General features: G+C 43.3%; 1 annotated feature.

The window, feature by feature from the left end:
• Positions 11,141-11,220: a silencer, noted in NCBI's record as "silent region_1751". NCBI's record gives its function as "represses an Ori minimal core promoter by ATAC-STARR-seq in GM12878 lymphoblastoid cells {active_cell/tissue: GM12878}" and the evidence as "EXISTENCE:reporter gene assay evidence [ECO:0000049][PMID:35858748]".

Raw genomic sequence — 14,017 nt, forward strand, 5'->3', positions numbered from 1 at the left:
AGGAGGATTAAACAAACAAAATAAGGTACAGATATACTTGTTGTACTGCACTCTGCTTTACTGCACTTTGCAGATACTGCTTTTTTTTTTTAATTGAAGGTTTGTGGCAAACCTGTGTCAAGCAAGTCTATCAGCACCATTTTTCCAATACTGTGTGTTCATTTTGTGTCTCTGTGCCACATTTTGGTAATTCTTGCAATATTTCAAAGTTTTTCATGATTATTTTATCTGTTTTGGTGATCTGTACTCAGTGATCTTTGATGTTACTGTTGTAATTGTTTTGGGGTACCACAAACTGCACCCGTGTAAGACAGAGAATTTAATAAGTGTAATTGTGTGTTCTGATTGCTCCATTGCTCTACTAACTGGTCATTCCCCCATCTCTCTCTCTCCCTCTCTTTCTCTCCCCCTCGGGCCTTCCTGTTGCCTGAGACACAACAATATTGAAATTAGGCCAATTAATAATTCTACAGTGACCTCTAAGTGTTTAAGTGAGAGGAAGATTTGCATGTTCCTCATTTTAAATTCAAAGCTAGAAATTATTAAGCCTAGTGAGGAAGCCATGTTGAAAGCCAAGAAGGGCTGAAAGCTAGACCTCTTACACCAAACAGTTACCCAAGTCATGAATGCAAAGAAAAAGTTCTTAAGGGAAATTGAAGGTGATATTACAGGGAACACACAAATGATAAGAAAGCAAAATAGTTTTCTTGCTGATATGGAGAAAGTGTTATTGGTCTGGATAGAAGATCAAAGCAGTGACAACACTCCCTTAAGTCAAAGCCAAATCCAGAGCAAGGCCCTAACACTCTTCAGTTCTATGAAGGCAGAGAGAGGTGAGGAAGCTGCAGAAGAAAACGTGAAGCCTATGGAGATTTCTGCAAGGTGAAGCAGAAAGTCCCAAAGCAGAAGCTGCAGCAAGTTATCCAGAAGATCTAGCTAAGATCATTGATGAAGGTGGCTACAATGAACAACAGATTTTTAGTATAGACAAAATAGCCTCATACTGGAAGAAGATACCATCTAGGACTTTCATACTAGAGAGAAGTCAATGCCTGGATTCAAATCTTCAAAGAACAGGCTGAATCTTTTGTTAGGGGATAATGCAGCTGGTGACTTTAAGTTGAAGCCAATGCTCATTTGCCCATTCTGAAAATCCTAGGGCCCTAAAAAACTATGCTAAATAGAGTTTGTTTGTGCTGTATCAGTGGAACAACATAGCCCTGGATGACAGTACATTGGTTTACAGCATGGTTTACTGGATATTTTAAGCTTGCTGTTGAGACCTACTGCTCAGAAAAAAAAAAATTCTTTTCAAAATTTTACTGCTCATTGACAATGCAACTCATTGCCAAAGAGCTCTGATGGAGATTTATAAGGAGATAAATGTTTTTATGCCTGCTAACCCAATATTCATTCTGCAGCCCCTGGATCAAGGAATAATTTTGACTTTCAAGTCTCATTATTTAAGAAATGCATTTTGTAAAGCTATAGCCACCATAGATAGTGATTCTGATGGATCTGGGCAAAGTAAATGGAAATCTTCCGGAAAGGATTTACCATTCTAGATGCCATTATGATTATTCATGATTCATGGGAGATCAAACTATAAAATTAAAAGGAGTTTGGAAGAAGTTGATTCCAATCCTCATGGATAACTTTAAGGGGTTCAAGACTTCAGTGGAGAAAGTAACTGTAGATGTGGTGGGAATAGCAAGAGAACTAGAAGTGGAGCCTGAAGGTGTGACTGAATTGCTGCAACCTCATGATCAAACTTGGATGGATGAGAAGTTGCTTCTTATGGATGAGTAAAGGATGTGGTTTCTTGAGATGGAATGTATTCCTGGTGAAGATGCTGTGAACACTGTTGAAATGCCAACAAAAGATTATGAATATTGCATTAACTTGGTTGATAGCAGTAGTAGGGTTTGAGAAGATTACTCCAGTTTTGAAAGAAGTTCTACTGTGAGTAAAATGCTATCAAACAGCATCATATGCTACAGGGAAATCTTCAAGAAAGGAAGAGTCAATCTATGTGGCAAACTTCATTGTTTTCTTAGTTTAAGAACTGGGCGCTGTGGCTCGTGCCTGTAATCCCAGTATTTTGGGAGGCCGAGGCGGGCAGATCACCTGAGGTCGGGAGTTTGAGACCAGCCTGACCAACATGGAGAAACCCCATCTCTACTAAAAATACAAAACACCTGGGTGTGGTGGTGCATGCCTGTAATGCCAGCTACTCAGGAGGCTGAGGCAGGAGTATTAATTGAACCTGGGAGGCGGAGGTTGCAGAGAGCCGAGATCCTGCCACTGCACTCCAGCCTGGGCAACAAGAGTGAAACTCCATCTCAAAAAAAAGAAAGAAAGAAAGAAAGAAATTGTCATGGCCACCCCAAACCTGGAGCAACTACCACCTTGATCAGTCAGCAGCCATTAATGTCCAGGCAAGACCTCCGCCAGCAAAAAGGTTATGACTCCCTGAAGGCTCAGATGATTGTTAACATTTTTAGCAATAAAGCATGTTTTAATTAAGATGTTTTTAGACATAATGCTATTGCACACTTAATAGACTACAGTACAGGGTAAACACAACTTTTGCATGCATTTTGAAACCAAAAAACTTGTGTGATTGACTTTATTGCAATTTTCACTTTATTGCAGTAGTCTGGAACCAAACCCACAGTAGCTCCAAATGATGCTTGCATGTGGAAGTTCTTGAAAAACTGTAACATGTCATGTGAACTAAAGATTGTCACTAAAAACTTCAGTGTTTCAGAAGTGCTGGAAGGGTTCTTACAGACTCTCAAGACAAACCCACTTGTATAGCAGAATGAGAAAACTGAGGCAGAGAGGCAAAGTGATCAGCCCAAGAGCACATGGTTCATTTAGTGGCTGATCTAGGATTAGGACTCAGCCCTCCTGACTTCTAAGCGGGCAAACTTTCTGCTACAGAATTATAGCATCATTATCACTGAACTGTTGAAAGGGGGCTAACCATAACCCCTCCCTCCTTTTCCATCTTTTAGACCTCTCCCTGCATCCCTCTTGCCCCTGTTTACTAAATGTAGAGAGTTTGCCTGGCCCAGGCTTGAGAAAAAGCTGACTGGTCCTTGCAGCTGTGGGCCACCTGACTACTGAGTGGAGCAGACACAGCCTCGACTGCCTGCAAGGAGCCCCTGGGTCTAGCTGGATTTTGGAAAATTTGACAAAGGTTAAGAGCAGGAACACTGGGGATGTTTGTCAGAGCTAATGGGATCTGTCCTCTCCAGAGACACCAGGAACTGAACCTACCCTGGCTGTAGATTACTGGCCTTTTCCAGCAAGAACCAAATATTGCTGTGGACAATTTGAACACTTTCCAAAGAACAAAAGACCTTAGGCATATGTGTGGTTGTCTGTGTGTGTCCTTTGAGCAGAGGGAGAGAGAAGAGCATTTGAGGTGAAATAGTATGATGTGGGGGAAAGTGACACATAGTATAGTCAATGATCCGGTCTCTCTGCATTAGGAGAGGGTCTTTGGAGAGAGAGAGAGAGGGGTGGGGGGAGAGAAAGAGACGCTCAAGAACGTGGATTGGAGGCTGGCTGGATGTAGAGACTTTGTTCCCAGAACATTTGAAAGCTGGTGGTGGTGTCACTATCTAGTGAACTTCTTTCTGGAGCTTCAGCTTCCAGAAAGTAAATTAATAATAAGAGGACATTTGGGAGGCTGAGGTGGGCTGATCACTTGAGGTCAGGAGTTCAAGACCAGCCTGGCCAACATAGTGAAACCTTGTCTCTACTAAAAATACAAATATTAGCCAGGCATGGTGGCACGTGCCTGTAATCCCAGCTACTCAGGAGGCTGAAGCGGGAGAATCTCTTGAACCTGGGAGGCAGAGGTTGCAGTGAGCCCAGATTGCTCCACTACCCTCCAGCCTGAGAGGGCAACAGATGTCTCAAAATAAAATAATAACAATATAAGAGGACAGTTGCTCAGTGCTCTGTGGATAAGTTTTATCAGGGCTCGATAGCTCCTAGAACAGAGTCTGTTACTGTCAGACATGAGCTGGCTCCTGCTCACAGGGGAGCCGGCACCGCAGGATGCACTCCAGGATGCCTGACTCTTGCAACACATTGCTGGTTCAGCACAAACCTGGCCAACTGGGAAATGGCCCAACCTCTTTTGCTTAAAGTTAGGAAATGAGGGAAAATCCACGATGCTGTGTGTGGTACAGTAGAAAGATGTCTGTACCAGGTGAGATGAGATGAGATGAGATGCCTGGCTCCAGTCCTGGCTCTGCCACTAACTGGCCATATGATCGCAGATAAATCCCTTCTCTCTGAATCTAGTTTTGTTGCCTATAAAATGAAGAGGCTTGATTGGGTGACAATATCAAGGAATACTTTGGAAGCATTAGCTCTGTGCTAGGCTCTGAGCTAAGGGACTTACAAGCATTAGTTCATTCAAATCTCTCACCAATCCTATCAGCTAGGTATTGTTTTTAAGCCCATTTTACAGATGAGGTAATTGAGGCACAGAGGGTTTAAGTAACTTGCATAAGGTGCTGAAACCAGGATTCAAACCCAGGTTTGCCTTTGAAGTCAGTGTTCTTAACTGTGGCATTGTATTGGGTCATCTTTGAGGTCTGACATTCTAAAATTTCTTTCTGGAAGAGAAAGGCACCGAGGAATGGGAGAGAGGAAAAGAAGAGAGGGACAGAGAATAATTTCTTGCATGGTAAAAATTGGAGGCCTTCTTTTATTGTAAGAACAAATGGGTGTGTGCATGGTGGGGTGTGTCGGTGAGGAGCTGCATGATGAGATATCTTCTCACTGCATATTTTTCAAACATTTTCTATTTTGCCATCAAGGAGTCTCTCAGCAAGGGAGACTATTGTATTGCCGACAGGAGCAAAAACTCCCACATGTACCTTTCTCCAACTCCCCACCTTCGACACATTCTGAAAAAATAAAATTTAAGGTGCTCAAACCATTTTTTTATTGCCAAAAGAGAGCACCTGGCACTAAAAGCTTACTTTTTCCATGTGTCTTAATATACTTTGGTTTGTCAAAGCCTCTTGTTTTCATGCAACTGGAAATAAGAAAGATTCAATGTCTTCAGTATCTCCCAATGTCAAGGATTCAATTTGTTGGAGTCATTTCCAAAACCACCAGCAATTCTACTCCAGGAAAGTGCCTTTCAGACCAGCCATTGCTACAGCACAGTCAGCAGAGGGCGCAGGCACTGGGAAAGTTTCTCACTTGAATACTGCCTGTGTGTCTTTGTGGCGGGAGAGTATGTGTGTCTGTACCTGTAAGCAGGAAGAGCAGCTTATGCCTCGGGCTTGCGCAAAAGCAGGACTGCACACTAACACCACCATCTGCTTTGCTTGTTACTGAGCCCAGGCTTTGGAAGCAGACAAAGCAAGGTCTGAATTCCCAACTCTGCAACTTAACAGATGATTGCATGACATTGGGGATGTGCCACAGCTTCAGATTCCTTCACTACAGAAAAGAAAGAATGATTTCCTTGCAGAATGGTCTGAAGATTCCATGAGACCATCTTCAGGATGAGTGCTTTCTATATATTACACAGCCCAGTGCTTGACATCAAGTAAGCCCTCATTACGGGTAGCCTGGCTAAATTCCACTTTATGCCATGCACTGCTCTAAGTGCTTTAAATGTAATAGGAAATAGGCCCAGACAGGGAAAGGAATTTGTCCAAGGCCACACAGCAGGTAATCATGGAACTAAGCATGCTGAAGCTCAGGAAGTCTCTCTACAAAATCTGTAATGTTGGCTGGGCACCGTGGCTCACGCCTGCAATCCCAGCACTTTGGGAGGCTGAGGCGGGTGGATTGCTTGAGTTCAGGAGTTCAAAACCAGCCTGGCCAATATGGCAAAACTCCATCTATTAAAAATACAAAAATTAACCAGGCATGGTGGCTTGCACCTGTAGCCCCAGCTACTCAGGAAGCCGAGGCATGAGAGTCGCTTGAACCTGGGAGGCGGAGGTTGCATTGAGCTGAGATTGTGCCACTGTACTCCGGCCTGGGCGACAGAGCAAGACTCTGTCTCAAAAGAATCTGTGATCCTAAACACAACTCTCAGCTGCCATGTATAGTTTACATATTATTGTGTATATTAACAGACTGAAATACATTCTGAAGGTCATTCACACTGATGTGTATTTTAATTGTTCAGGACAGTTGCTGAAGCTTCCACCTGTCCTCACTTCTTACTCTGTGATTAGGGGCTCAACTACTGAAAGGCTACAAAATAAATATACTCTTTGATACATAGTTTCCTTATCTGCCAAATGGAGTTGTTAGTTATTAGAAAATTAAATAAAAGCATATGTGAAAATGCATGACACACAGTAAAAGCTTAATAAATAATTAACATTTTATTATAAGAAGAGAGAGTATACCATAGCAAATATGCCATAAATCTGATTCCTTCCCTCCGTTAGTCTCCATGAGTTTTCTTTTTTAGATTTATAGTCACAGGGGCCTCCCTCTGCAGTGCTCCTTTCTTTAATGTTTTATTTCCTGTACCAGGACTGCCAGACTTTCTGAATCAGTTTCCATCCTGGAACTTCCTCAAGAGCCATCAGGGAAGGATTTAGGCTGTGGCTAGGTAGAATAAAGGCAGACCTTTAATCTCAGGTTCTTGTTTAAGGTGAATTTGTCTCCATTCCTAAAAACTCTTGTCTTGTTCCCAGCCCATTAAGTGCCCTGGAAACCCACAGAAGAAAAACACATATTAAAGATGCAATTAAATTTACGTCTGTTCCAAGACACAGAGACACTCGTCTGATCTTCCTTTCAGGTTTAACAAGCTTCTTTTTTAGGAGAGCCTCCAAATGAAACCCCATTACTGAAGTCTTGGGAAACACCACTCATTCATTCACAGAAAAATCTAGATGCTTAGTTTCATTGATCCTATTTCAGGAACAAAAAGTCTGAGGCCTCAAGAGGGCTCTTCCTCAAAAGGGCAAGACACAAGTATAGGAATCTCAGAGTCTTCCTAACCGCAGATGTGTGCACTGCAATGGCTCAGGCAAGAGACAGTGGTGGCTTAGAATAGAGTGGGGATGGTGGACAAGGAAAGAAGTGGTGGGCTGAAGTTTGTTTTGGAGATAGAACCATCTGGACAGGCTAGCAGATTAGATGGGAATGAAGGAAAGGAAGAATCAGGGATGACTCCTGGATTTGTCTCAGTCTGAGATAAATCTGTCTCTGTCTGAGTCCTGTGTGAAATGCTGCAAGTTCAAGGTTATTTCTGCATAGGGCATTGTTTGTGATAAAAAGCTTGGAAATAGCCAACAATAAGAAATGGCTAAATAATTACGTCTATGCAATGGAATGTGATGGTGCCAGGTTAAAACAATAAAAAAGCTCCAAAGAAAAACATGTAGACCGTATTGTTGACTCGAAAAATGTGGAACAGTATGTATAGTATGCTATCATTTGTATAACATACTAGGTGAAAGTATACATAGCCCCATTTGCTTATATATGAATAGGATGTCTCTGGAAGGATATACCAAGAAGTCGGTGGCATTAGGTACTTTTGGGGAAAAGTTGGTGGGTGAGGACAGGGTGAGAAAGAAGCTTGTTGTCTCCTATTTTGTACTCTCTGAATTTTGAGTCGTGTGACTGTGTTGCTTTATTAGTTTTCTGTTACTGCTATAACAAATGATCACAAATGTAGTGGCTTAAAACAGTGCCAATTTATTATCTTACAGTTCTGTAGCGTAGAAGTTTGACACAGGCCTCACTGGGCTAAAAGAAAGGGATTGGTGAACTGCATTCCTTTCTGGAGGCTGGAGGGGAGACTGTTTCTTGGTCTTTTCTAGCTTCTAGAGTCTCCCTGCAGGCCTTGGCTCATGGCCCCTTCCTCTGTCTTCACAGTCAGCAGAGTGTCTCTGACTCTTCCCCCAAATTCATGTCTCCCTCTGACCACAGAGGGGAAAGGTTACCCACTTTTAAAGACTCCTGTGACTAGATTCAACCCATCCAGATAATCCAAGATAACTCACCTCCAGGTTGTTAACTTAATTACATTTACAGAGTCCTTTTTGCCATGTAAAGTCACATATTAACAGATTCTAGGGATTAGATATGAGCATGTTTTGGGGCCATTATTCTGCCCATCACAATTACTTATTCAAAAACAATTTAAAATGCAATGAAAAAATAGTGACTCCTCAGCTTTTTCATTTGCGCCGTCAGGTAGATAATTTACGGAGTACAGGGATTGAGGCAGCAGGAACAGGTTGGAGGGAGCAGAGAGTCGAGAGGCCTGTTTGAGCATATTAAGTTGAGATGCCAGTAGACTTTTCAGGGGTGATATCAGCTTGACCCTTGAATGTGTGGGTCTGGTGGTCATAGGCTTGTTAGGGCTGGAGATATTAATTTGGGAGATTATCAGTGAATAGAAAGTGGTTAGAGTCATGAAACTGGCCAAGAGCACCCAGAGAGAGTTTGTAGAAGAAGGAGAAGCCCCAGGACTGTGCTCTGAAGACTGCAGGTAGGTGAAGGAAGAAGAGGAAGCCAAGGAGGCCAAGAAGGAGCACCAGTGGGGATGCAGAAAAACCCCATTACCTCCTCCAGGAGGCTTCCCCACGCAGCCTGGATCTAAAGAGCCTCCATCCTACTCCCTAGTTGCCTCTATCACACGCTCTTGTTCATTTGGTTTATAGGATGATCACAGTCCGTAATTCTCTTGTTTTGTTTCTTTGCTTATTGCCTGTCTTTCCCCACTGTATTGTAAGTTTCATGACAGCAGAGCTTCACCCATCTTGATCATTGCTGTACCCCCAGCACCTAGTCCAATGCCTGGCTCAGAGTAGGCACTCAATAAATGTTTGTTGAGTGAATGAGCGAGTGAATGGATGGATGAAAACAAATTTAATTCCTCTGCCCTCAGTCCATAAACAAAGAAAATGGTGCTAAAATGTAAAAGTTAAGGGGGAAAAAAAGTGCAGCTCTTTTATATCCTCCACAGACTGTTCCTCATGTTAGGGTCACATAGGAGTTGTCTACTGAAAGCACCAGGAAGATACCTCTGTTCCGCCTGTGCCACCTTGCTTGAAATCCTACCATTGTCCGGTCATTCCCTGGAGTGAGGCATCACCCTCTTAGCACAGTGCCCACTAGCTAGTAAGCACTCAATACATTTGAGTTCTTCTTTTTTAAAATTATTATTCAGTCTTTAAAAAATGCAAATATCCCTGCGAAAGATGGCCCACAAAGTATTAACTCCTTACTATGAATTCGTGTCTCAGCAGAAATAGCTGAGGAAGAACCTGGTTTTTCCTTAAACTTGTTGTTTCCCCGACCAGCAGCACATAGCTTGGTTTTTGCATTATCTGAGATGAGTCTACAGGGATGGGGTTGCAGAAAGGGGGAAAGGGCTTTCCAGAAAATGCTAGGGAATCTAAAGCAAACTTCAATGTCTGGTTTTGCCGAGGCTCATGCCTGCACAGCATGAAAATTGCTCTACAAGCCACATCAGCCACTGGCTTTTCATTTTGGGGCGGTGTGAGTCTCCCTGTGAGCTGAGCCAGGCAGTGGAGGAAATGAAGAGGCTCTCAAGGGAGGGGCAAGGGAAAGAGACTGGGCAGGGTGGGTGCAGCTGGCAGTGAGAGACTCTGCCTTTTCAACATGGATGGCTCCTCCCGCTGCCGCTGCCGCTCCAGGAGACAGGTAAACATTCTGTGCAGGGTTGAGACTTCTCTTTCAGTTTCTTTCCTACTTGTCTGGAATTTGGGCTCACATAATATAAAGTGGGCACTCTGTAGTCTAAAGGGATTAGAAAGCAAGGCATCCCCCTCTTCCCTTGAATGGTTTTCTAGGGTGCTATATGTCCCAAACCCCCAAATCGATTACATCGTCTGACAACTGCTTGTGTGGACAATGGGAAGGAATATTGTGCTTGGGGTATGTCTAAGGCTTATAGGAAAAGGCTTGAGCTGCAGGTTAAGTATCTTATGATAAGCAGTGTGGGAACCTACACGCAAATGTATATTGCTGGGTGAATGTTCTCCATCTGTTCTAGATCCCTAACTAGATACAGAGTCCCTTGAGGGTAAACCCATGCTCTAATCTAGACTTTTTGGTCCCCCAACACCCAGCACAGTGGATGGACATGGGGATTTACCTACACTTCTACACCTGTGCTGTCCAGGATGGTGAGAACTTGAATTGAAGTGTACTCCAAGTGTAAAATATACCCTGATTTTGAAGACTCAGTAGGAAAAAAGAACAAAAAATACTAATAATTTTTAAATGAGAACAAGTTCATATAATAGCATTTTGATATATTGGGTTAAATAAAATGTACTATTAAGATTACTGTTACATGCTTGTTTTTACTTCTTAAGTGCGGCTACTAAAACATTTTAAATTACACATGTGGCTTGTGTTGTTTCTACTGAACATCTCTGGTTTATATTGCGCTGGCCTCCCCTCTCCCATCCTTTCTTGCTCCCTTTAAACTCTAATCAGACTAGAGATGCCCTTCTTACTGGGCGTCTAAAGCCCTCGGAATCTTTTATTGGTCACAGCAGGATCTCCTGGGTATTTTGTATTTGTCCAATCACTGATATTCCTTAGCAAATGTGTTGATCATGTCATTTAAGCCTTCCCTATAATTGCACCCTTTGTTCTAAGGTAAAGAAATTCAGGCTGGGTGCAGTGGCTCATGCTTGTAATCCCAGCACTTTGGGAGGCCGAGACAGGTGGATCACCTGAGGTCAGGAGTTCAAGACCAGCTTGGCCAACATGATGAAACCTCATCTCTACTAAAAATACAAAAATTAGCCAGGTGTGGTTGTGCACGCCTGTAGTCCCAGCTACTCAGGAGGCTGAGGCAGGAGAATCGCTGGAACCTGGGAGGTGGAGGTTGCGTGAGCCAAAATCAAGCCACTGCACTCCATCCTGGCTGACTAAGACTTCATCTCAAAAAAAAAAAAAAAAGAAAAAGAAAAAAAAAAGAAATTCAGGCAGCAGCAATTAGGAGAGGGATTGACTTTAATTGAGCATCTAAGTTACCAGCTTTACAAGTGTTATCTTCTTTAAATTTATTTTCATTTGGCTAGATAGGCATTGTTTTCTCTGCTTTTTTCAGATAAAGAGACTAAGACTCAAGAGCTCTGATAACCTGCCCCACCCCAAATCATCCACCTAGTAAGATGTGCAGGGTCAGGGCTTGAACCCTGGTGCACCTGACTCAAAGAGCAAGTTTTTCCCCCACCAGTAGCACATGGCAGGCAGGTTTTTCCCCCACCAGTAGCATGTGGCTTCATATTTTGCATAATTTGAGATGAATCTACAGGGGTCCCCCCACTCATTTGTGTGTTCTATTATACCTGCCTATGGAAGGGGCTCATTAAGGACACCTTGTATTATTTATTCTTTATCACAGATTTCTAGATTGTGCAAGGAACAAGTCCATCCAGGTCTTGGAGCACCTAGGTACATTCTAGTGCTGGCATGGTCCCTAATTTACTAAGTGCCTAGGACAAGTAGCTTCTCATCTCTATAAAACAAAGAGAACTTTTACAGTTTGTGATCCTAAGCCTGTTAGGTGGGGAAAGTGGAAATTGAATTAGGCTGCCTTTGTCGTTTTTTGATTGTTTTAGAGACAAGTTCTCACTGTTGCCCAGGCTGAAGTGTCGTGCTATTTATAGGCATGATCATAGCTCACTGCAGCCTCCAACTCCTGGGTTCAAGCAAGCTTCCTGCTTCAGCCTCTCAAGTAGCTGGGACTACAGGTGTTCACCACTGCACTTGGCTGGCCTTATAGCTTAATTCCTAATGGGTTACACCTGGAATTAGAGGATTTTTTTTCTAAATAAGAATCTTTTTTAAAAAAAAATCTGAGAGCCTATTATTTCTTCATGTCAAAATTTCTGTTGAATGTGCTGAACATTAAGTTCCAGACAAGTGAGTCCATGTTGTGTGGGTGGGCAGAAGACCTGAAGTTCATTTTCAAGGATTAGAGGGCTTTTGAAGGCTGCCCACTCAGCAGGCGGTTTCCAGAGCGGCTTCACGCTGGTGCATGTCTTAGAAGTTGCGATCTGGTATCATTGCTCTAATAGCTAGAAATCCTCATTACCTGTTTAGCGGATCGGAGAGGAGAGCCAGATCCTTTCATAAGCCTGCTTATTAATCCTCCCTGAAAAGCCATGTTATTAGAGCAGCATCAAAGCTGGGACGCCCTTAGGAGCTCCCTCTTTAAGACTCTGACAGCCTCTTCCTTTTTCAAAACTGGATGTAAAGCATGAATAGAGTCCAGCCTGGGGCTCTTCCCAGCTGTGCTCATTAATCCAAAGGCAGTTAAGCCCCCATATCCACCGCTCCCCCCAACTCAGGCTTTACCGAAATTTCTTTATTCAATGCCTGCTGATTGCTGCTAAGAAGGCCTATGAAGATTAATTTTCCAAATGAGTTGCCATTTCTTGTTCCAAATCCTTGGAGGGTAAATTTAAGTGTCCCGTAGTTAGATCTTGCAAATGGATTTCGGGCTGAATAGTGATTTTTATCTGTTCGAGCCATACATTAATTCACTTCAAGTCTTTGAGACTTGATGTGTAAAAAAAAAAAAAAAAAAAAAAAAAAAAAAAAAAAAAAAACATGGGTGAGGGAATACATCCTTTATCTACTTCCCTTTGAAATTTGGTTCTGGGATTTGAAGGTGGCATTAGGGAAAAGGGACAGAAAGAATTGTTAGTAAGGCCTTGAGAACCTATTTCTTAGGCATGTCTATTACCAGCAAGGGCCTGCCTGTTTTTCCATGCATCCCCCGACTACTCCTAACACCGTGTAGCTGTAAATAAAAGGAGGAAAAACATTTCATATGAACAAGGGTCCGATTGAGTTACTTCTGGAAAACAGACAAACTCTCCCAGATCTTTCTTCTTTTTTGTGTGTGTGGCAGAGGGGGAGACGGAGTCTCACTCTGTTGCCCAGGCTGGAGTACAGTGGCGTGATCTTGGCTCACTGCAACCTCCGCCTTCCGGGTTCAAGAGATTCTCCAGCCTCAGCCTCCTGAGTAGCTGGGATTACAGGCTCCCGCCACCACAGCCAGCTAATTTTTGTATTTTTAGTAGAGATAGGGTTTCACCATATTGGCCAGGCTGGTCTTGAACTCCTGACCTCGAGATCCACCTGCCTTGGCCTCCCAAAGTGTTGGGATTACAGGCGTGAGCCACCGCACCTGACCTCTCCAAGATCTTTCAATATGTCAACAATGAAGATTGTCAAGGCATATATGTTACCTTTAAATACATTTTTTTTCCTGTAAAAATCCATAAGAAAAGACCAATGGAGGGTAACTTACCCTTGAGCAGCTTTAATGGGAAGAATAAGCTAGAGATGTTTTTCTGTAACTGCTAAAGCTTGTTATTTATTCCTCCTCCAATCCCCAAATCCACGACCTTTGAAAACAGGAGGTGTGTCTGAAAAAACAAGGCAAAAATGACCTTAATCCTGACAAGGTTGTAAGGACATATTATCACCCTAGGGAACAGTGTGGCACTTTTAGAAACTGCTGAGGGAGATTTACGTAAACTTGTGATTAGGCTGAGAGCCTTTCAAAGCAGGGAGTACATAGTAGGCACTCAGTTAATGCAGAATAAACAGGAAGTGGTGAGGAGCCAACTCTTTGCTGACTTGCCATTGTTGCTGGGCCGTGTCACTTGCTCCTGAAGTGGCTGCAAGGGTTCTGCCTCCACTGAAGCACACAAGTGCCCATTCTGTGGAGGGAAAGCCAAAAGCCCTTTCCTTTGGCTTTGCCCATGTGGCTTCAGGGCTTGAAATCCTAAGGGATCCAGAGTGGCAGTGCAGTCCAGGGTGTGCTGGGTCGGCAGTGAAGATGAGGAAGAGGATGGAGAAGGGGGATGGAGAGAGGATAGTTCCTGGTAGGGCACACACTTTCACTGCCCCCCAAAAGGCACTGCAAGCCCTGGGTGGGAGGCTTCTGGGGGAAACGGCTGGATGGTGGACAGCCCTCCTCCCTCTGGGTGGTCCAGTG

The sequence above is a fragment of the Homo sapiens genome, chromosome 1 (genome assembly GCF_000001405.40).
Source record: "Homo sapiens chromosome 1, GRCh38.p14 Primary Assembly".
In the NCBI taxonomy this organism is placed as follows: domain Eukaryota; kingdom Metazoa; phylum Chordata; class Mammalia; order Primates; family Hominidae; genus Homo; species Homo sapiens.